The sequence below is a fragment of the Homo sapiens genome, chromosome 1, assembly GCF_000001405.40.
Source record: "Homo sapiens chromosome 1, GRCh38.p14 Primary Assembly".
Classification (NCBI taxonomy): Eukaryota; Metazoa; Chordata; class Mammalia; order Primates; family Hominidae; genus Homo; species Homo sapiens.
In genome coordinates this window covers 173,983,842-174,008,784 of record NC_000001.11, presented here as the reverse complement: position 1 = coordinate 174,008,784, position 24,943 = coordinate 173,983,842, and the positions used below count along the sequence as shown (strand labels likewise).

The 24,943-nt window shown below is 39.3% G+C and overlaps 1 protein-coding gene across 20 annotated transcripts in view, besides 1 other annotated feature; it reads left to right on the top strand.

Moving 5' to 3' along the window:
• The window catches only part of RC3H1 (ring finger and CCCH-type domains 1), a 91,274-nt gene that overhangs the window by 13,573 nt on the left and 52,758 nt on the right, over positions 1-24,943 (top strand). For 17 of the 20 annotated variants that reach the window (XM_047447096.1, XM_047447104.1, XM_047447095.1 and 14 more), the window contains exons 2-3: positions 15,650-16,030; positions 24,166-24,286. In XM_047447096.1, the coding sequence (XP_047303052.1) occupies positions 15,800-16,030; positions 24,166-24,286 (352 nt within the window). In that variant the 5' untranslated portion in view covers positions 15,650-15,799. Of the gene's footprint in view, positions 1-15,649; positions 16,031-24,165; positions 24,287-24,943 lie in introns of those variants that run through there. The other 3 variants (NM_001300852.1, NM_001300851.1, NM_001300850.1) reach the window with 1 other exon arrangement.
• Positions 5,648-5,848: a silencer, noted in NCBI's record as "peak465 fragment used in MPRA reporter construct". NCBI's record gives its function as "represses an SCP1 promoter by STARR-seq MPRAs in K562 erythroleukemia cells {active_cell/tissue: K562}" and the evidence as "EXISTENCE:reporter gene assay evidence [ECO:0000049][PMID:32103011]".

Sequence of the window (24,943 nt, the reverse complement as noted above, 5' to 3'; positions counted from 1 at the left end):
GGCTGGTCTCAAACTCCTGACCTCAGGTGATCTGCTGGCCTTGGCCTCCCAGAGTGCTGGGATTACAGGTGTGAGTCACCACACCTGGCCAGAACATCCCCTTTTACAATTTAATTTCTGTTTCAAACCGCTTTATATAAAGATAAAATAATAATACAGTATAAACAAGATACATTGTGGCTATAGGATTCTGTGTTTGGAGTTCATGTAGCAATTTTTTCGTTCTTTTAAACCCTTCAAAATGGAATTTTGCTTGCAATAGTAGTTGAGAAATAATTCTAAAATGGAAAATGAATCAGCTCCTCCTCTTCCTCCTTCTCCCTCCTCCTCCCTTCCCCTCTTCTGCTTCTTCCTCTGCTGCTGCTTCTGCTTCCTTCTTTCTTCTTTTCTAAGCACTGTTTTTCAAGTATCTGCAATTAAAAGTCTCTGTGACATTGTTTTCTGGAAATAGTTTGAATTCTAGGAGGCATATTTCAAAACAAAACAAAGTAATGAAATGTCCTTAAGACCTAAGAGATTATGGGGAAATACATTTTAAAAATATTGATGTTATTGCTATTATTAAATATACTAGGTTTTTAATGCAAATAAAATTTCTAGGTCAGAATATATAATTAGATATGTACCTGTTGTGAATACATCTACATGTTTCTAGAATTAGTCAGAACATGATGGCAGCCACCAAATGCCACAAGGAAGTCTAAAGCACAGGATCATAGGGAAAAAGAAATAGAAGCAAGTAATAGGAGACTATTAGTGTGTGACACATATGCTGTGTGATGCATACACTGTTTTCTTGAGTAAAGAGGAGATTTTTGTCTACTTTTTTTATTGACACTCATTTTTGTTCCTTCCAGTTCAACATGAGAAATCTGCTGCATTCAAAATCTACAAGTCATCATTGCTCCAAAAATAAGTTCACAAAGGGTAGCTTCCTAACTGTGATCATTTTAACTGGAGTGCTTTGTAACAGTTTAAAATGTAGTAAATGCTGGGAAAAAAAATCTAACAAAAATAATGTTGTGTGGGCCGGACGCGGTGGCTCACACCTGACATCCTACTGATCTGGGAGGCTGAGGTAGGAGGATCACTTGAGGTCAGGAGTTTAAGACCAGCCTGGGCAATATAGCCCATGTCTACAAAAATTGTAAAAAGTTGCCCGGCATGGTGGCCCATGCTCATAGTCCCAGCTCCTCAGGAGGCTGAGGTGGGAGGGTCGTTTGAACCCAGGGGTTTGAGGCTGCAGTGAGCCATGATCATGCCACTGCACTCCAGCCTCGGTGATAAAGCAAGACCCTGACTCAAATAACAACAACAACAAAACATTGCATGAAAGAAGCCAAGTACAAAAGAATACATACTGATGATTCCGTTATATAGATTTTTTTTTTTTTTGAGATGGAGTCTCGCTCTGTCGCCCAGGCTGGAGTGCAGTGGAGTGATCTCGGCTCACTGCAAGCTCCGCCTCCCGGGTTCACGCCATTCTCCTGCCTCAGCCTCCCGAGTAGCTGGGACTACAGGCGCCCGCCACCACGCCCGGCTAATTTTTTTGTATTTTTAGTAGAGATGGTGTTTCCCCGTGTTAGCCAGGATGGTCTCAATTTCCTGACCTCGTGATCTGCCTGCCTTGGCCTCCCAAAGTGCTGGGATTACAGGCGTGAGCCACTGCGCCTGGCCTGTTATATAGAATTTTAAACCGGGCAAAACTAACCTATTGTGTTAGGAGTTGGGATAGTAGTGATATTTGGGGAAGAATAAAGGAGTAATCATTGGGAGGGATAGTGAGGGGGGGCCTTTTGAGATGCTGATAATGTATGTCTTAAGTATGCAGGTATGCTCACTTTGTGATAATTCGTTGAACTGAACACTCTTGATCTGTATGTATGTTATACTTCATCTTAAAATATCAGTAAGGCGTCTTAAGATATATGATTCATTTTATTTTAGTTCCCTTCTCATTTCTCAGTGAAATATTTTAATAAAATCTTCAAGACAGAGTTATCCTTTTGGTTCTGTTCAAAAGGAATACAGTAGTTGCTGCTACAACCTAATTTTTTCTTTTTAATAAACAAGTAGGTTTAAACAGTTCCAGAGTTCCTACTTAAAACCAGTCATGCTCAGATTAAACCCAAAACAGGCATCATTTAATTTATATCTTTAATTATGGCTGACTAATGATTATTAAAAAGTATAATAAAAAGTTACAAGTGCTCAAAGTTGGAAGGCATGGTGTTATAGTGGAAAAAATACAGGTTTTGGAGTCAGATAGATGTGGGTTCAAATTATGACTAAATCACTAAGTTAGCTGAGTAACTGAGTTTTCTTTCCTTCCTTCATCAGTAAAGTAGAGGTAATAATATCTATGTCAGAAGGTTGTTGGAAAGGTTAAATGAGATAGTGATTGGCAGTCAAACGCCCTTCTTTTCCTCCTACAGTTTCAAGATAGAGAAAATATTTGGGGAGTATATGAAGATAGTTGTAGGTAGGTAAAAAAGTATAACTTGCTGAAGATGACCAACCTTAGCTAATGATGGTAAAGAACAGTCTTTATTTATTTATTTACTTATTTATTTATTTTGAGATGGAGTTTCGCTCTTGTTCCCAGGCTGGAGTGCAGTGGCGTGATCTAAGGTCACTGCAACCTCCACCTCCTAGGTTCAAGCAATTCTCCTGCCTCAGCCTCCCAAGTAGCAGGGATTACAGGCACCCACTACCATGTCTGGCTAACTTACTGTATTTTTAGTAGAGACGGGGTTTTGTCATGTTGGCCAGGTTGGTCTTGAACTCCTGACCTCAGGTGATCCACCTGCCTTGGCCTTCCAAAGTGCTGGGATTACAGGCATGAGCCACCGCGCCCGGCCAGGAATGGTCTTCAGATTGTCACCAGTAAGGACTAACAACATCTAACTTGGAAACACATGAAACATTATCAGTATTAAGAGTTAGTAATGCTACTTTGGCTCATCAACATAGAGGACTGTTGCATGGATCACAGCTTAAGTATGTTGAGCTGGATTATGATACATTTTAGATAGGTTTAAATTAAGCACAAATGGTAAATATTTTTAAGTCAAGAGGGGTTCATTGCCCATGTTGTGCTTTGAAAATGTATCCTTTTGCTTTTCTGTTACTGATAATTTATGATGCAGGATTGAGGAGCCAAATTTAGGCATGTTGTGTTTGTGAAGGTCCGTCAGTATCTTTGTGATTTTTAGAGCCTAAAAAAAGATAAATATGTTCTGTCAAAAAGGTTATGATTCAATTGAGACAATCTTTCAAATTCCTACATCAATATTATATGTTTTCTCAAAAGACTATAATGAAATTTATATATGTAAAACTATCTTAATTATATAATCACCAGATAATCTATTATTAAATAACAAACCACTCTAAAATTTAGCTGCTTAAAACAACCGTTTTATTCGCTTACAATTCTGTGAGTCAGCAATTTGGACTGAGTTTAGTTTGGTAGTTCTGCTAGTCTCCCCTGAGGCCACTTGTGTAGCTACAATCATCTGACAGCTCAAATTAGGACTGGTTTTAGGGATCTGAGCTATTATAAAACAGCTCTTCTTTGTTTCATGTACTCTTGTCCTCAGACAAGCTAGTTCAAGCTTCCTGCAAAGTCTCTTGAGACCTAGGCTCTGAAACTCTCCCAGCATCACTTCTGTTGCATGCAACTGTTGAAAGTAAGTCAGGGCCACCCAGGTTGAAGGATGGGGGAAATAAACCCCATGTCACTATTTTCTCTATGGTTTTTAATACTTAGGAAGCTGTCCTATATATGTTAGCAAATCCATCAAGCTGGAGTATTCACGTATTCTCTAATAGAAAGTCAACTGACTCCTGTCCCCCTGCCCACCCCCCTCTAAAAAAAAGCTTTTGGGCTAGTGGGAAACTGTTGGGGAAGAAACCTAGGGCCTTTGCATGTTACTCTGAATGGTAAGACCCTATCTTCCCTGGCAGCTTCCCATTAGCCCGATAGACTTTTTTCTTTTCTCTCTTTTGTGATCTTGGCTCACTGCAACTTCCGCCTCCTGGGTTCAAGCAATTCTCCTGCCTCAGCCTCCCTAGTAGCTGGGATTACAGGCACCTGCCACTATGCCCAGCTAATTTTTTTTTTTTTTTTTGTATTTTTAGTAGAGATGGGGTTCCACCATGTTGGTCAGGCTGGTCTCGAACCCCTGACCTCAGGTGATCCACCTGCCTTGGCCTCCTGGAGTGCCTGGATTATAGGCATGAGCCACTGCCCCTGGCCCTGCCAAGTGACATTCTCTTAGAGAACACATAAATACTCCAGCTTGATTGATTTGCTAACCTATATAGGATAACATACGTATTTGTGTATTAAAACCATAGAGAAAATAGGGCCAGGCACAGTGGCTCACGCCTGTAACTTCAACAATTTTGGAGGCTGAGATGGGAGAACACTTGAGCCCAGGAGTTTGAGACTAGCCTGGGCAACATTGTGAGATCTCATTTCTACTAAAAATTTTTAAAAAACTAACCAGGTGTGTTGGTGCACACCTATAGTCCTGGCTACTTGGGAGGCTGAGGTAAGAGGATCACTTAAGCCCAGAAGGGTGAGACTTGAGGCTGTAGTGAGCAGTGATTGTGCTGCTGACTCCAGTCTGGATGACAGAGCAAGACCCTGTCTCAAAAAATAATAAAAATAAAAATAAATAATATATAATTAATAATATATAATTATATATGATATATAATAATATATCATATATATAAAATAATTTTAAAAGAAAGATTAAAAAAACTTCAGTGACTGAGTGACATACCAGTTACTGTGATAAAAGCATGGGGAATTGCCGGGCGCAGTGGCTTATGCCTGTAATCTCAGCACTTTGGGAGGCCGAGGTGGGCGGATCACAAGGTCAGGAGATCAAGACCATCCTGGCTAACACGGTGAAACCCCGTCTCTACTAAAAATACAAAAAATTAGTAGGGCGTGGTGGCGGGCGCCTGTAGACCCAGCTACTTGGGAGGCAGAGGCAGGAGAATGGCGTGAAACCCGCGAGGTGGAGCTTGCAGTGAGCTGAGATTGTGCCACTACACTCCAGCCTAGGGGACACAGAGAGACTCCGTCTCAAAAAAAAAAAAAAAATTCTCTGATTTTTCAGGAACTTACAGTCTAGTTATTATAGCCTAGCTTTGCTGTATTAGGGATGTTTGTTACCAGGGATACCAGTTAAGAAATTGTCACAGTGATCCAGGTCAGAGATGTTGGTATTGGGAATGGATAAGAAGGTTTTAAGAAACATTAAAGAAATAATATGTACATGGCGATTGATGAGTTGATGGGTAGGGGTGTGAGAAAAGAGAGTAGTCAAGGATGATTCCCCGTACGTGTGTGTGTGTGTGTGTGTGTGTGTGTGTGTGTGATAGGAGTCTTGCTCTTGTTGCCCAGGCTGGAGTGCAGTGGCTCAATCTCGGCTCACTGCAACTTCCACCTCCTGGGTTCAAGGAATTCTCCTGCCTCAGCTTCCTGAGTAGCTGGGATTACAAGCGCCCACCACCATGTCTGGCTAATTTTTGCATTTTTAGTAGAGACGGGGTTTCACCACGTTGGCCAGGCTGGTCTCGAACTCCTGACCTCAGGTAATCCTCCACTTCAGCCTCCCAAAGTGTTGGGATTACAGGCATAAGCCACCACGCCTGGCAGTTCCCCATGCTTTTATCACAGTAATTGGTATGTCACTCAGTCACTGACAAAGAGAACAAAAGGTTTGGTGGGGAGGAGATGAACATGGATGACTTAGTAGTCAACTGGTTATATGGCCCTGGCACTCAGAAGAGAAGTCTGAACTTGAGAGAGAGATTTGGAAGTCAGCAGGATCTAGTTGGTAGTTGAAAACATAAAAACAGATGAAATTACTCAGGGAAACTTTCTAGGGAAGAGAACTGGGGAAGGAATTCTAAGAACCAACACTATTCCAAGGATGAATAGAGAAGAAGAAGCCCTCAATAGATATGGGCAAGGAGTGGCTTGCCAATCATTGGACAGTATGTTGTATAGAACCTAGAAAAGGGCAGCTTTTGTAGGAGTAACTTTAATATTATTAAATGCTATATAGAAAGAAGTAAAATAAGAATTGAGATATGACTCTTGAATTTCATAAGGTTCTTAATGTGCTTGTTAAGAATTATTCCACAATAGTGGTGGATGGAAACAGGGACAAGGATTGAATGACTTTTTTAGATGAGACAAGTTGGAGACAAATTTCTTTCAGCTCCTGAACAAAGATTTAAGCATGCCAGTGGGGAAAGAACTAATAATGAAGGACAAGTTGAAGAAACAGAATATTAGTGCCACCCTCTAAAATGTCTTAATTTCATCATATTCCTGAGGATTCTATAGGATAGTATTTAACAACCTGAAACATAAATTTATCAGGCACAGGTTAGATTTTCTTTCCATTGTGATTATTTGTCCCTGCATCCCACATGATTATTTGCCAGTCAGATTTGTGTGTCTCAAAATAACTGGACAAGAGGAGTAAACTTCCTTTATAAAAATGAACCATTATTGCAGCAAGAGGACTGATTTCAAAAGATGACCTGGAAAACTGTTTAGTCTTGTTAAAATATTTGGCCTCATCTTCAAAATGTATACATGAATCTTTCATTTTGGGATTGAAATATCTTTCTGATTTAGAAAAGAAGCTTGATTAAGAAGGAGATGTCAACTTTTACCTCCCCCGCCCCCAACAAAAAAACAGTTTCAGAAATTTATGATTAATTTAAAAGCAGTTAAGATAATAAAGCAAACAATTTTGTAAAATTTTTTGAGGGTAATGAGTAAACTGGAATGCTCAATGTATACTAAAAATACTCCTGATCTTAGTAACCAGTTTTTATTACATCCTTAGTGTTTGTACTAACACTAAATTGGTGATTATAAATTTATTTACTTGATAGTATAGTATATGTAATATTCAACAGAGTGTTAATGCAAAAACTGAAAAAATTAAAACATTTTGCTTTTTTGCTTAATCGGTAAATTTTCCTTTCTACTACCTTTAAAGATGGTGCTTTTGGCTGGGCGTGGTGGCTCATGCCTATATAATCCCTGCACTTTGGGAGGCTGAGGCTGATCACTTGAGACCAGGAGTTTGAGACCTGGCCTACGTGGTGAAACCCCATCTCTACTAAAAATGCAAAAATTAGCCAGGCATGGTGTTGCACATCTGTAATCCCAGCTACTCTGCATGAGAATGGCTTGAACCTAGGAGGTGGAGGTTGCAGTGAGCCAAAATCGTGCCACTGTACTCCAGCCTGGGCAACAGAATGAGAATCTGTGTCAAAAACACAAAAACAAAAAAAGATGATGCCTTTGAGTCTGGTCACATCATTCTGCCACCTCTTTGATAATTAATGAGGGCTAATGCCCTCTTTAGTGTAGCACATTTGTATATAATGCATAACTTGAACCTGGAGATTCAAACTACATACGTAAAGTTAAAGACTGTCTTACTTTCTCAGGCACTCTGTTTCAAACTCAGGTCAGGCGGCTTCTCCATGAATGATTTTGTCCTTTCTTACTACTTCTCCTCAATCTGGTATTAGGTTGGAGATAGAAATTTTTCTTTTTGCCTCTGAACGCTGAAAAAGTAAGCAACCTGAATTAACCCCTTGAACTTTCCTCCACCTTTCTTTATCAAGTTCTATTTTTCAAGCTATTTTTTCCCTCTAACTCAGAAGCCCTTCTCTTTATGCCTGTCCCAAGTATTTATCCATTTGTACTAACATAATCATATTAAATTATTTACATCCAGGATTTTGTATATATAGGGTTACAATTCAGTCCATACATTTTGGGAAGATGTATTTTTACAATCAAAACTGGGTCTTTGTTCACAAGATATTATTGCTGGAAAAACCTTGAGCCTCAAATTTTAGACTCTATTTCCACTGTAAATTAGTTGATGCTCTGCTGAGGATTAAAAAATTAAGTGTTATAATAGGCCTTCATTAGTTTTCTTCTTTGTGTTTTTATCTCCTGCTTCTAGCTTCATTTTTCAAGGCAGTGAAACATTTTCTCTTCTCTGATGTGGCCCTACATGCTGGTTGCTATGGAAATGTTCCAGAGAAATGAAAAATTAAGTTAAGGTCAAGAATAATGAGTTAAAATCTCATCTCATCGGGCATAGTGGGAAGAGAGCCAAGATTTTCTTCTTACAGACAGTGTGGTTTTGTTTGATAAAAACATTTTTCACAGGCCAACTTATATTTCAGATATGTAAGACCTGGTGTTAATCCCAGCTCAACAGTTTATTGATTTGGGGCCGTTACTTAATGCCGCCAAACCTCAAGTTATCTTCTGTAAAATGGGCATAGTAATGCCTCAGAGGAGTGCCTGGCTCAGAGTAGATAGTTGAATTTTAATTTCCATTTTTCTCTCTCTAAATCAGGAACATATAAAATGAACCTATAATAAAGGAGATGGTAATAAATGTGTCATATGTTTAAATGAAATCTTCACAGCAATGTAATTTAGCTATTTAATAGGGCTATTGCTGTGCTCATAGAACAGATTCGAATAGTTTCTATGTTTCTACATTATTACTTAACATTTTTGAAAACTAAGACTATTAAAAAGCCCTTAATGACTATTTTAACAGCTTTATTGAAGTATAATTTACATACCATAGAATTCACTTATTTTAAATACACAAATGATTTTTAGTAAATTTACAGAGTTGTGCAACCATTACTACCATACAATTTTAAGGCATTTCTGTCACTCCCAAGAGCTCCCTTGCCATAATTACTATAAACTTTTATTCGTGTGGTGGCACAAATTATAGAGTTTCAAAGTACCAGCCTGGGAGTTTGGCTGTCCTGAGTTTGAGTCTTAGTCGTGCCACTTTCTAGCTTTGTGACTTGGGTACTTTGGTTTCCTTATCTTTAAAATGGGCATAATAACTACATTACAGTGTTACTGTGAACATTAATTAGATACTGTATATAGAGCACTGAAAGTATAATATCCTAGTTTTTGCTTCACAAATGTTGGTTATTGGTGGTAGTCCACATTGTGGATATTTAAATAAGAGAAACATCTGAAAACACCTAGCACAGTGACTGACACATGATTGATTTTCAGAAAACAAAGCTGTTCTACGTCTTTCCAGATGCATCATGTCATCACAATTTTGTCTGTAGTTGCTCATTGACAATGTTTTAATCATACTTAAACATCGATGCTCACAATATGTAGTTATTTGTTATTTTGCAGAGGCATACATTTGAATTTAACAGCTAAGGGAGCTGTAAGACTTGGAGTTTGGTATCTACAAACTAGTTACTTAGCTGGTGGACCCAAGCAAGTAGCCTTGTTGTTTATAATTCATATCTTTCTTTCTCTCTCTCTCTTTTTTTTTTTTTTGGTGGAGTTTTGCTCTCATTGCCCAGGCTGGAGTGCAATGGCACGATCTCGGCTCACCGCAACCTCTGCCTCCCAGGTTCAAGTGATTCTCCTGCCTTGGCCTCGCGAGTAGCTGGGATTACAGGCATGTGCCTGCTAATTTTTGTATTTTTAGTAGAGACAGGGTTTCTCTATGTTGGTCAAGCTGGTCTCAAACTCCTGACCTCAGGTGATCTGCCAACCTCAGCCTCCCAAAGTCCTGGGATTACAGGTGTGAGCCACCACGCCCAACAGTTTTTTTTTTTAGAGATGGGGTTTCTCTGTGTTGCCCAGGCTGCAGTGCAGTGGTGTGGTCATAGCTCACTGAAACCTTGAACTCCTGGGATCAAGCATACCTCCCACCTCAGCCTCCTGAGTAGCTGGGACTACAAGTACGTGCCACCACACTCTGCTCATTTTTTATTTTGCTTATAGAGACAAGGTCTTGCCTTTTTGGCCAGGTTGATCTCAAACTCCTGGTCTCAAGTGATCCTCCCACCTCAGCCACCCAAAAGTGCTGAGATTGCAGGCGTGAACCACAGCACCTAGCTGAAATAATTTTTTTATTTTGATAATAAGATCTTTATTTCTTTGTTAAGAAAAAAAACCTGAGTAAAGTCAAATGGTAATATTAGTGATAAAAGTTTAGAGATTTAAGAAAGTGGTGGTTCTTAACCAGAATTTAGACATTGGGATAAATTAATAGTGAAATGTCAGATGTGATATTCTGTACTGTAGCTTCAGTCAATGCCATGAACAAGGCATATAACTGAATAAAGCAGTCTTTTCAGTGTTTTCTGTGAGCACTCTTTAGTGGTGTAAAAATGTGTATATATAATTGGGGAAATTATATGGTATTTTTGAACTTGGGTCTTAGGTCAGACCCTTGAACTGATTGCTATTTAATTATCATGTATATTCTGTATTAGCAATTATCAACAGTAAAATCTCGTCATTTTTGTAGGAGAGGTGTCCTTATTTAAACTGGTGGGGAAACTAATCATTGCTTTCATACTTGAGCAGCAGTGTCACTCTTTTGAATCTTTTTGGAAATAAAGAGGGCTCATCATTTGTCTTCTGTTTCAATTGGAAGGTTCCAATAGAAATACTCCTAATGAACTAGATTTGGCCTGACCCCCAACAGTTTATCTGCAGGCCTTGAATGCATGTGCTTTGATTAGTAGAATTATTTACAGCTGTTTTTGTTTTGTGGCCCTTTTTTAGTTTGCTGACATACCTTTTTCTGAGGAAGTTCAAAAAATCTGGATGTTGGTATATTAATAATTTTATTTCATATGTTTACTTTTGACTGAAAGAATGCTTATTGTATTTAGTAAATCATGTCTTTTGTGGTTTAGATACATGTTGTGGTTGAAGAGTATATAAACTGTCTTTGAGAAGCTTGGAGAATGTTTGGAAGAATGCGTTTAGAGAAAGATACTTAAAGAATGAGGAAATGGAAATTCTTCTTAGATCTATGATCTACAATTAACTGACACTTTGAGTCTCAAAAAAATCTTTGCCTTGTGATTTTTTAAGTCCTGAAATAGGGTCATCTAAGAGTGACTTTCTGTTATTAATCATCAAATTTCCCAGAAAAAGTCAAGGTTTAATATTATTTTCCCCTTGGTCTCTCAAACCTGTATTTATGGTCAAAATAATGCTTTTATTTTTAATGAAGAACTGATTGCTGATTTTTGTATTTTTATTCTATCAAGTTGTTTATAGTTGTGTCAAAGAACTATTTTACTAGAAAATTTAAGAGATTAACAACTACATACCTTACTTTACAAAGTTAATAGAGATGGAGGTGATAAACAAAATTAATAAAGGAATGCTAATTCTTTGAAGGGATAAGTTACAAACTATTTTAAGGTTCTTAAATTTTGAAAAGAACTAATAAGTTTTGATATTTGGCTATCTAAATGTGTAAAAGAAGATTAATAATATTAGGACAAATGTTTTGAATCGTTTTAGAGTGATTATCTTAAGAAGCTTAAATTGTACTCTAAGTGTACTCTAGCTTTGTGTTACTCTTTCAATTTATTTGTACTTATATAAGTAATTCATGATTACATACTTTTGTAAGTTGCCCAACTGTGTAACTGCCATTAAGTTTTTTTGTCTTGTTTTGTTTTAGACAGGTCTCGCTCCGTTGCCCAGGCTGGAGTGCAGTGGAGCAAACATGACTCACTACAGCTCCGACCTCCTGGGCTCAGGCAATCCTCTTGCCTCAGCCTCCCATATAGCTGGGACTACAGGTGCCCATGTCCAGCTAAATTTTTTATATTTCTGTAGAGACGGGGTCTCACTTGATTGCTCAGGCTGGTCTCAAACTCCTGGGCTCAAGAGATCCACCTGTCTCCACCTCCCAGAGTGCTGGGGTTACAGGCGTGAACCACCATGCCTGGCAGTGCCGTTAAGTTTTGTTACCCAAAAAAAAAACAGAATTCCTTTGCCTTTCAAGTAAAAAATGACTCCACAAGAACACAGATTTTGATCAATGGAAGTTTTATTACTTGTCACAAGTAAGGAGAGCACTGGGAGTATTCTCCAAAGCAGTGGGTCTCTGAGGGAAAGTGAGAGGAGGGTTTTATGGGGCGATGGAGAGGGAAGAGAGGGTATGTCACTGCATGTAGAGGAGGGGTCCCAGTGGTGCACATATAGTGAGTCTTTATGCCCGGACGTAGGTCACATGCTATGGTAGTGAAGCTATAGCTTCTCCCAGGATGGAGACTTTAGCATGGTAACGAGGAAAGTTCACTCAGGTTTATCTGTGAGTGGCCAGGGTCTGTGAGGAACTGGTTCCAGCTGTCTAGGTGACTGCATTCTACACAGGGTTTAGGCAAAAATAGGCTGCAAGGCAGGAGGCTATAAAACAGGCTGATTGTTCAAGTTGATTAATTCCTATAGTCCATGAAGACCTTGCTGTCTGCTTACAGCTTGTTGAGTGTCTTTTCAGACCTTTTTCTTCCATTCATTTACATATATTAATACGTAGACTAATATGTAAGGGTTCTTTTCCCTCAGCACAAATGATGTCATATATATTGGTCTTCAAGGCTTTTTTTTTTACTTAATGTATTTTGAGTCTCTTTCCATACATTTTCATAGCACTGGTATGTCTCTGTTTATCTAGAGTGCAACGGCGTGATTTCGGCTCACTGCAACCTCCCCCTCCCGGGTTCAAGCAGTCCAACTGCCTCAGCCTCCCGAGTAGCTGGGATTACAGGCGCCCATCACCACACCTGGCTAATTTTTGTAATTTTAGTAGAGATAGGGTTTCACCATGTTGGCCAGGCTGGTCTCAAACTCCTGACCTCAGGTGATTTGCCCAACTCGACCTCCCAAAGTGCTGGGATTACAGGCGTGAGCCGCCACACCCAGCCCAATTTTTTCAATTGCATCGATTTCTGGTCTTTTAAATCTTATTATAAATACCTTGGTAAAGTTTATTATCTTTCTGTAATATGGACAATCACTGTAATCAATCTGTTTTCCATATTTTTACATATCAGGTTTTCTTAAAGTAAGCATCATGCTGGTGTAGCAGCATATGAGTGCTTTAGGGCCCAAGAGTGAGAAAAGACATATAGTTGTTACTCTTCCTAGTTGAGCCTTGAAGGAGATCATAGTGGACTGTGTGTGATTGGTGAGAATAATATCACAGGAGAACATTGAAAACAATAAAGTGAGTCACCTCCTGCCCCTTCAGTGGCTTTACACTACTCTTCATATAGTAACCAAATACCATCATATAAGTTAGAAGATCCTGTGTTCTTTGGTCCTTGCTAATTCTTTTTTTCTTTTTCTTTTTTTTTTTTTTTGAGATGGAGTCTTGCTCTGTCACCCAGGCTGGAATGCAGTGGCACAATCTTGGCTCACTTCAAGTTCTGCCTCCCAGGTTCACACCATTCTCCTGCCTCAGCCTCCCAAGTAGCTGAGATTACATGCATTGTGCCCCCATGCCTGGCTAATTTTGTGTTTTTAGTAGAGACGGGGTTTCTCCATGTTGGTCAGGCTGGTCTCAAACTCCTGACCTCAGGTGATCCACCTGTCTCGTCCTCCCAAAGTGCTGGGATTACAGGTGTGGGCCACCATGCCTGGCCTCATCTCTACTATATTCTATCTAGTCTCAGAATCTATGGTTATGCTGTTTCTTTACCTAGAATCTATACCACACATATTAAACATTATTCTTCCCTTAACTTTCGTTCAGCAGTCATCTTTAAAATCTTACCATAAATATCACTTACCTGTACATCAGCTCCACCCTAATTTGGTCAGGTTGCCTCTGTTATATATGCTTGTATCTCCCTGTACTTTACCTACATATCACTTACCATAACTTGCAATTATATATTTAGTTATGTGATTGCTGTTTATATGTTTAGTGAAAGAAACAGTGCAAGCTCCATGTGGACTTAGAATGACTTATCTTTTTTTTATCGTTAGTACTGAACACATAGTAAAGACCAATAAAACATTTTTTTGTCATTTAACTAAATTAAATTTTTCCTGGGAATGGAATAAGGTTTCTTTTTTCTTTTTTTTTTTTTTTTTTGAGATGGGGTCTTGCTCTGTCACCCAGGCTGGAGTGCAGTCACATGTTCGTAGCTCACTGCAGCCTCAAACTCCTGGGCTCAAGCGATCCTCCTACCTTAGCCCTTAGCTTCCTGGGTTGCTGGGACCACAGGTGCATGCCACCACGCCTGGCTAATTTTTGTAGAGACAGGGTCTCCCTATGTTACCTAGGCTGGTCTCAAACTCCTGGGCTCAAGCAGTCTTCCCATCTCAGCCTCTGAAAGTGCTGGAATTATAGGCATGAGCCATCACACCCAGCCTGAAAAATTTGTATGAGTCTGTCAAGATTGTGGTATAAATACAGAGGAAACATATGTTTATATAAATTGTTTCTACTTTTAAAATATTCTTATGTTGTCAAAAGTTTTGTTTGTTTGTTTGTTTTGAGATGGAGTCTCACTGTGTCGCCCAGGCAGGAGTACAGTGGCGGATCTCGGCTCACCGCAACCTCCACCTCCTGGGTTCAAGCAATTCTCCTTACTCAGCTTCCCGAGTTCCTGGGATTACAGCCATGCACCACCACACCTGGCTAATTTTTTATATTTTTGGTAGAGACGGGGTTTCACCATGTTGGCCAGTCTGGTCTTGAACTCCCAACCTCAAGTGACCCACCCGCCTCAGCCTCCCAAAGCGCTGGGATTACAAACCTGAGACACCGCGCCTGGCTGTCAAAAGTTATTTATGTCTTGTTCAGTAATTCTTCCCTCCCTCTACCCCCTTCCCCAACAAAGCTTTTTTTTTTTTTTTTTTTTTTCTGAGATGGAGTTTCACTCTTGTTCCCCAGAGTGGAGTGCAATGGCGCGATCTTGGCTCACCACAACCTCCGCCTCCCGGGTTTAAGCGATTCTCCCGCCTCAGCCTCCTGAGTAGCTGGGGTTACAGGCGCCTGCCACCACGCCTGGCTAATTTTTGTATTTTTAGTGGACATGGGGTTTCACCATGTTGGCCAGGCTGGTCTCGAACTCCTGACCTCAAGGAATCTGCCTGCCTTGGCCTCCCAAATTGCTGGGATTACAGGCGTGAGCCACCATACCCAGCCAAGATTATTTTTTAGATATATTTATTTTTTAAAAATTAGAGATTTAGCTGGGCATGGTGGCTCACACCTGTAATCCCAGCACTTTGGGATGCCAAGGCGGGAGGATCATCTGAGGTCAGGAGTTCAAGACCAGCCTGACCAACATGGAGAAATCCCGTCTCTACTAAAAATACAAAATTAGTCAGGTGTGGTGGTGCATGCCTGTAATCTCAGCTACTTGGGAAGCTGAGGCAGGACAATCGCTTGAACCCAGGAGACGGAGGTTGCACCATTGCACTCCAGCCTGGGCAACAGGAGCGAAATTCCGTCTCAAAAAAAAAAAAAAGACTTAGATAAACTTAAGAGACTAGGGTCCTGGATGGAACTTTATTATTAACTTCAAGTTTCCTCTTAGGCAGGGGACTACTTCCCATCTCTAAAATGAGGGAATGGAAATAGATGTTCTATCATGGCTCTAATTCTGTAAAAGTGTAAAAAGATGGATTACAGTGATACAAATGTGGTATAAAAAGTTGTGGAATAAGACTGGACTTGTGGTTCTTTTTCAACAGTTTAATTGAAAAGAAAGACACTCAATTTTTTTCCTTTTTCTTTATTTTCAGGTTATATTTCACACTATGTGCTGACTGTATCTACAGAAGATATTTAAAAAAAAAAAAGATAAACTTTTTTTCAAAGATTTTGATTCCAGTGGAATCTTTGCTTTAGATTTGTGTGTGTGTTTGTGTTCGTGAATTGTAACTCCAGAAGCAATGCCTGTACAAGCTCCACAATGGACGGATTTCCTCTCCTGCCCAATTTGCACTCAGACTTTCGACGAAACAATTCGAAAGCCCATCAGTTTGGGTTGTGGCCATACTGTCTGCAAGATGTGCCTGAATAAACTCCACCGCAAGGCTTGCCCATTTGACCAGACCACTATCAATACAGACATTGAGCTCCTCCCTGTGAACTCAGCATTGCTGCAGCTCGTGGGTGCTCAGGTAGGATGGGTGACTTAATACTTTTAAATTTCTCCCTCTCTCTCTCTCTCTCTCTGTGTGTGTGTGTGTGTGTGTGTGTGTGTGTTGTGCGTGTTTTTCTCCTGAGAGAAACCTGTTGAATTAAAATTGGGTAACATTGCCTTCTATTTAAATAGGTATAATTCTGTTTGGTACTGTAAATCCTTTATTTCAGCATGTTAGATTTATTGTGGTAGTCCAGTGCTTTTTAGTCATAGTACAGTAACATCCATTTAATCTTGTCAGATATTCAATAAACCTAGCTATGCAGATCGCTAGAGAAACCTAAGGCCGGGTGTGGTGGCTCATGCCTGTAATCCCAGCACTTTGGGAGGGCCAAGGCGGGTGGATCATTTGAGGTCAGGTGTTTGAGACCGGCCTGGCCAACATGGTGAAATCCTGTCTCTACTACAAATACAAAAAAATGAGCTGGGTGTGGTGGTGTGTGCCTGTAATCCCAGCTACTTGGGAGGCTGAGACACGAGAATTGCTTGAACCTAGGAGGCAGAGGTTGCAGTGAGCCGAGATCGTGCTGCACTCCAGCCTGGGTGACAGAGTGAGACCCTGTCTCAAAAAAAGAAAAGAAACCTAAGAGGTAAGTCATAAGGACCTTTTTTAACATTGAGAAAACTATTGTTCATAAAACCACTGCACTTTACTCAGTAGAGAAGGTGCAGCTGCTTCAGGCAGTTTTACTCAGTAGACATTAACTGAAATGAAAGATGAGAAAGGTGACAAAAACTATAGCACAACATTTGGGAACCATTAGAACACACTTAATGCTTTATAAACCTAAAAATGGTTGGGATGGTAAATTTTGTGTTATGTATATATTATCACAATAAAAAAAATAAAATTTTCCCAAATTTTCCTTTCATCTAAAAGGAAAAAGAAAAAATAAATTAGACTTTAAAATATATAATCACCAATTTCTCCTAGGAATGTAAGTTTGACTTAACATCTGCAAATCAATTAATGTAATTCACTATATCAGTAAAAGTTGCAAAATTGCACACATATGATCATCTCAATAGACACAGAAAAAGCATTTGGCAAAATCCAATACCTTTTCATAATAAAAGCACTGAAACAACTAGGAGAAAAACTTCTTCAACCCAAAGGACATGGATGAAAAACCCACAGCTAACATACTGAATGGTGAAAGACTAGATGCTTTTTCTGTAAGATCAGGAACAAGTCAAGGATCTCCACTCTTAACTATTTCTGTTCAACATCATACAGGACCTTCTAGCTAGGGCAATTAGGCAAGTAAATGAAACCGGTGACATTCAGATAAGAAGTAAAAAATAAAAACAATCTCATTCACAGATGACATGGTCTTATATATAGAAAATGTTAAGGAATCTGCAAAGGAAAAGCTATTAGAAACAAAAAACTAGGCAGAGTTGCAGGATATAAGATGAGTATATAAGTATCAGTTGTCTGAAAAAGCAAAAGTCTTTCTAAGGTGTAAAAATGTGTTTACAGTGTTTCATAATTTCTTTCTTTCTTTTTTTCTTGCTCTGTCACCCAGGCTGGAGTACAGTGGTGTGATCTTGGCTCACTGCAATCTCTGCCTCTCAAGTTCAAGTGATTCTCATGCCTTAGCCTCCCAAGTAGCTGGGATTACAGGTGTGCACTACCATACCCAGCTAATTTTTGTATTTTTAGTCGAGACAGGGTTTCGCCATGTTGGCTATGCTGGTCTCAAGCTCCTGACCTCAAGTGATCCACCTGTCTCGACCTCCCAGAGTACTGGGAATACAGGCATGAGCCACCGTACCCAGCTAGTGTTGCATACTTTCATCCACAGTATGTTAATAACAGTTTTCTTAGGCCAGGCACAGTGGTTCACGCCTGTAATCCCAGCACTTTGGGAGGCCGAGGCGGGTGGATCACGAGGTCAGGAGATCAAGACCATCCCGGCTAACACAGTGAAACCCTGTCTCTACTAAAAATACAAAAAGTTAGCTGGGCGTGGTTGCAGGCGCCTGTAGTCCCAGCTACTTGGGAGGCCGAGGCAGGAGTCCCAGCTACTTGGGAGGCCGAGGCAGGAGAATGGTGTGAACCCGGGAGGCGGAGCTTGCAGTGAGCCGAGATCGCACCACTGCACTCCAGCCTGGGCAACAGAGTGACACTCTGTCTCAAAAAAAAAAAATAAATAATAATAATAATACTTTTCTTACACACGTAAGAAAGACTGTCTGGTACATAGGCCCTTAATAAAGACTGTTAAATAAGTAATATATATGTTGTATTTCTATACGCTGGCAATGGACAATCTGAAAATAGATCAATTTCATCTACAAGAGCATAAAAAAAATTAAGAATATATTTAACAAAAGAAATGTAAAATTAGACCGGGTGCAGTGGCTCATGCCTATAATCCCAATAGTTTGGGAGGCCGAGGCTAGCAGATCTCTTGAGGCCAGGAGTTCCAAGACCAGCCTGGCCAACATGGTGAAACCCCGTCTCTACCAAAAAAATAGAAAAATTAGCCAGGTGTGAAGGTGCCCACCTGTAATCCCAGCTACTCGGGGCTGAGGCATGAGACTCGCTTGAACCCAGGAGAGGGAGGTTGCAGTGAGCTAAAATCACACCACTGCACTCCAACCTGGGTGACAGAGCGACTCTGTCAAAAAAAAAAAAAATGTAAAACTATATTTTGAAGACTACAAATCGTTGTTTAAAAGTAGCTTAAAACTTGAATAGGCCGGGCGCGGTGGCTCACGCCTGTAATCCCAGCACTTTGGGAGGCCGAGGCGGGTGGATCACGAGGTCAGGAGATCGAGACCATCCTGGCTAACAAGGTGAAACCCCGTCTCTACTAAAAATACAAAAAATTAGCCGGGCGCGGTGGCGGGCGCCTGTAGTCCCAGCTACTCGGGAGGCTGAGGCAGGAGAATGGCGTGAACCCGGGAAGCGGAGCTTGCAGTGAGCCGAGATTGCGCCACTGCAGTCCGCAATCCGGCCTGGGCGACAGAGCGAGACTCCGTCTCAAAAAAAAAAAAAAAAAAAAAAAAAAACTTGAATAAACATTTACTCTATTAACTCAAAATGGATCAAAGGCTAAATATAAGAACTAAAACTACAAAACTCTTAGAAGAAAATATAGACATAAGTCTTTCTGACCATGGAGTAGGCAGTGGGTTTTTTTCAAGATGTGACACCAAAAAGCACAAGGAACAAAAGAAAAAGATAAGTTGAACATCAAAATTAAAAACTATATTTCAAAGATACGAACAATTGGCTGTTCACAGTGGCTCACGTCTGTAATCCCAGCACTGTGGGAGGCCAAGATGGATGGATCATTTGAGACCAGCCTAGGCAACATGGCAAAACCCCATCTCTACAGAAAATACAAAAAAAAATTTTTTGCTGGGTGTGGTGGCACATGCTTGTAGTCCCACCTGTCTGTGAGGCTGAGGTGGGAGCATCACCTGAGCCCAGGAGGCCAAGATGGATGGATCATTTGAGACCAGCCTAAGCAACATGGCAAAACCCCATCTCTACAGAAAATAACAACAACAACAAAAAATTGCTGGGTGTGATGGCACATGCCTGTATTCCCACCTATCTGTGAGGCTGAGGTGGCAGCATCATCTGAGCCTGATCACCTGATGGAGGCTGCAGTGAGCCTCGATCGCAGCACTACGCTGTAGCTTGGGCAACAGAATGAGACCCTATCTCAAAAACAATAGCAACAACAAAAAACAAAGATACCAACAAGAAAGCAAAAAGAACAACCTACAGAATGTGAGAAAACAATTGTAAAATCCTATTTCTGATAAAGACTTATATGTAGAATATATAAGGAACTCTTACAACTCAGTGATAAAAAGACAACCCAGTTTTTAAAATGGACAAAGAGCTGAACAATCACCTCGTCAAGTAGATTATACAGTTGGAAAATTGGCAAAATGAAAAGTAGCTCAGCAGTTTGTCTTTAAGTAATTGCAAATTAAAACAAGTGAGATACCACTACACACAAATTAAAATGGCCAAAATCCAAAACATTAGCAACACCAAATGCTGGTGAGGATATGGAGCAACAAAAACTCTCATCTTTTTGGAAATGAAAAATGGTATAGCTACTTTGGAAGACAGTTTGGCAGTTTCTTTATAAGCTTAACATAGTAGGTATTTACCCAGTTAACTTGAAAATTTATGTCTACACAGAAACCCTCACATGACTATTTATAACAGCTTTATTCATGATTGCCAAAAAATGGAAGCAGTTGAGATATCTTTTAATAGGTGAATGGATAAACAGTGGTATATCCATACAATGGCACATTGTATAAAATGAAATAATGAAAAGACATAGCTGTCAAGTCACAAAAAGACATAGATATATCTCAATGTATACCATTGCTAAGTGAAAGATACCAGTATGAAAAGGCCACATACTGTATGATTCCAATTATGTGATATCTGTAAAAGGTAAAACCATAGCAACAATAAAAGTATCAGTGGTTGCCATGGATTCAGGAGTAGGGAGGGAGGATAGAATTGGTGAAACAGTATTTCTTAGGGCAGTAAAACAGTTCTTTATGATTCTGTAATTGTGGCTATATGACACTCTGAATTTGTCAAAAACTGTAGAACTTTACAAAGATTATGGAAGACAATCTGAAGTATATGAAACAATTTCACTAAAGGGGTGTAGGAGAAAGGTAGATTGTGTAAGATTAAAGATAGAGAAAGATATTATCTATAAGCAGTGTACTCTAGTCTTTTCCCATGGGGGTACGAATTAATTCTGATACTGCTGTATGTATAATACATATTAGAATTGAACAGTTAAGTAAGTGAATGGGAAATGATTGGAGCCAGTTAACAGATAAACAAGGAGGAAGAGGTTAGAGTGATTCATGTGATAATGGATTGGAGTTGGAGGCATCAGTATGAACTCATTTTTAGCTTGATATGGATACAGATGGTTATATACAGAAATAGATATACGAGATATCTCGTGTGTATCTCGGGTTATTACAATGTATATCTCGGGTTATTACAGTGACATATTTCCTTGGTCTGTCATCTAAGATGGCCTAGAAGGAACAACACCCCAATAGTAATGTGCATACATAGCATTCATATCTTGGTTTCTAATACCATTCTCCAATAAAAGGAACCAGAGTTCCTTGGAGAAATGGCTAATTCTAAGACTGGGACAGGAAATACACGAAATGAGTCTGGAGTAGCTTGTAGCACTGGAAAGTATAGAGAAGTATTCAAAACACACACAGACACATACACAGAGTAATGGGGGCTATATCAAAGGCACACAGGAGCCAACTGAAAGAGCTCTCAATGGCCAAAGCTAAAACAGTTTGAACAACAAAATAAATGGAATTGGATCATAACCCAGGTATAAGATAAATATCCTTGAGTCTACACGATACAATTAAATGATTGAATAAATAGATGGAAGAAAGAAACAAATCTCCCGTGCAGAATTCCAAATTAATTACATAGATATTCTGCTCTCAAGGATGTAGAATGTGTGTGGGCTACGCATAGTGACTCCTTCCAAAAAGTACAGTTTGTGGAGATTATGTAACTTTATAGTGGAGAAACCTGGTAAACACTGACTAAACCAGCTGTTCAAATTTAACATCAGCAATAATAAGTTGTGTTGGTGGTGTGTAGCTTTGATATGATGTGATAAAAAATGGCACTTTTCCCCTATGATCTTCCAAAAATCCATAACCCCAATATACTCATGAGAAAAATGACAGATCCTAGATCCCAGTTTAGGGGCATTCTACAACATACCAGACCAGTGCTCCTCAAAACTGTCAAGGTCATTAAAACAAGGAAAGTCTGAGAAAGTGTCCAAGCCAAGAGGAGCTTAAAGAGATATTGAAGGGCTAGCGCAGTGGCTCACACCTGTAATCCCAGCGCTTTGAGAGGCCAAGGCAGGCAGATCACTTGAGGCCAGGAGTTGGAGACCAGCCTGGCCAACACAGTGAAATCCTGTCTCTACTAAAAATACACAGAATCAGCCAGGCGTGGTGGCGCATGCCTGTAATCCCAGCTACTCAGGAGGCTGAGGCATGAGAATCTCTTGAACCTGGGAGGTGGAAGTTGCAGTGAGCCGAGATTGTGCCACTGTACTCCAATCTGGGCGACAGAGTGAGACTTTGTCTCAACTTTGAAAAAAAAAAGAGGGAGAGACATGGAGGGAGAGAGGGAGGCCAAGGTGGGTGGATGGCTTGAGCCCAGGAATTCGAGGCCAGTCTGGGCAATGTAGTGGGACCTCCATCTCTACAATAAAATACAAAATTAGCTGGGTGTGGTGGCGTGAGCCCAGATGCTGCCACGGCACTCCAGCCTGAGTGACAGAGCGAGACTCTTTCTCTGAAGACTAAGTGTAATATGGTATCCTGGATGGGATCCTGAAACTGAGAAAGAACATTAGGTGAAAACTAATATCTGATTAACATGGATTTTAGTTGTTAATTATGAATATGTTGATATTGGCTCATTAATTTTAACAAATGTACCATACCAGTGTAAGATGTTAATAATAGGGGAAATTGTTAGTCGAGTGTGGTGGCTTGCTCCTGTAGTCCCAGCTACTTGGGAGGCTGAGGCAGAAGAATCGCTGGAACCCAGGAGGCGGAGGTTGCAGTGAGCCGAGATGGTGCCACTGCACTCCAGCCTGGGTGACAGAGGGAGACTCCGTCTCAAAAATAATAATAATAATAATAGGGGAAACTGAATACAGGATAATGAGAATTCTGTGTACTATCTTTGCCATTTTTCTGTAAATCTAAAACTGTTCTACAAAATAAAGTTTACTAGGCAAAATGGGCAAAGGATCTGAATAGATATTCTTCCAGAGAAGATATACAAATGGATAATAAGCATATGAAAGGATGGTCAACATCATTAGCTATCAGGGAAATACAAATCAAAACCACAGGGAAGTGGGAGGAAGGTAGATGGGAAGAAGAGATAATTATCAAAGAATACAAAGCTTCAGTTAGACTGGAGGAATGCCTTTAGTGATCTATTGCACAGAACAGTGACTATAAATAGTAATACATTGTATGTTTCAAAATTGCTAAAAGAGTAGATTTTATTTAAAATCTACAAAAAAAAAGTGAGGTGATGGATTTGTTAATTAACCTGATTTAGTCATCTCACATCGTCACATTGTACCCCATAAGTATATGCAATTATTATTAATTTAAAATAAAATTTAGACAAACCACAATGAATTACTACTTTTCACCCAACAGGATAGCTATAATAAAAAAAGATAATGAGTAGAAGAATTATCTTTCTACATAAAATGTAGAAGAATTGGAACCCTTATACACTCCTGGTAGATATATAAAATGCTACTCTGCTTTTGGAAAATAGTTTGGCAGTTTTTCAAAAGGTTAAATACAGACTCCTAGGTATATACCAAAGAGAAACAAAAACTTTTGTCTACACAAAAACTTGTACACAGATGTTCATAGCAGCATTATTCGTAGTAGTCAAAAATAGAAACAACCTATATGTCTGTCAATGATGATTGTGTAAATAAAGTGTGATATATTTATACAATGGAATTTTATTCAGTGATGAAAATGAATGAAGTACTGATACAACCTGGAAGACCCTTGAACACATTGTTAAGTGAAAGAAGTAAGTCAGAAAAGACTATTTATTGTATTGATTTTGCTTATATGAAATGTCCAGAATAGGCAAATCCATAGAAAATAGATTCGTCTTTCCAAAGGTTGGTGGATGGTTGGGAAGAAATAAGGGGTAATTGTTAAAAGGGTACTGTGTTTCTTTTTGGGGTAATGAAAAGGTTCTAAAGTTGATTGTGGTTATGTTTGGACAACTGTGAATATACTGAAAACCAGGGAATTGTATGTACTTTAAACCAGTCAGTTGTATGGTATGTCGATTATATCTTAATTAGGCTGTTAGAGAAACAAAACAAAGGAATGCAAAGATACATGTTAATAGGAAAGATCTTTTGAAAGAATTCAGTAAATTTAGTGGGCGTTTTGATGTTACCAGTGTCAGCATTATGAGTGCATAAACTATACTAAATAAAACAATTAATGAATTGAGCACTCATACAGATCTTTTCTTTTGGCCTCCAGGTCCCTGAGCAGCAGCCTATTACTTTGTGTAGTGGGGTTGAAGACACAAAGCATTATGAGGAAGCCAAGAAATGTGTAGAAGAATTAGCATTGTACTTAAAACCGCTCAGCAGTGCTAGAGGTAAGTTTGTTTTTGTTTCTTATTTAAAGAGTAAAACTGCTTTTTTAAATACTCAGTACATAATCCTATATAAGTCCTGAGGAATTCCCAAAAAACCTAACTAGAGGTAAATTTGATGCAATTATCCATACTAAGTAAATGTCTACTAAAGAGACTTGTTACCATAAAAATTGTGAGCTATTAAGCAAATGTTAATGAAATTTATCTATTGTAAACTAAACTCATTTTGTGCTAAATATCATGACACAAACCACATCAAATAAAATAGTGAATTTTTAGTTTATGTGATGATGGAAACATTATTCGAATGATGATAATAGCAAATATAACTACTTACTTCAGCAGTGCTTTCCATCATTTGACAATTCTGAATGGTTTGCCTTCTATCCAGTTTTATATGCTATGCTATAGGCGGTATAATGAATACGGAAGTTGCCATTACTGCACAGAAAGGGCTTGCTATTTAATTAGGAAAATAAGGTTAACCACTGTCAAATAATATACCAGAACTCTTAGGACTTCAAGATTTACATTATAAACTAATTATCAATGTTGTCTAGTCCTTTTTTCTTTCTTCCTCTATGATTAAAATGAGTAATGGTATATTTAATGTCATAATGAATGCTAAGTGCACATGAGATAACTCATGTATACATT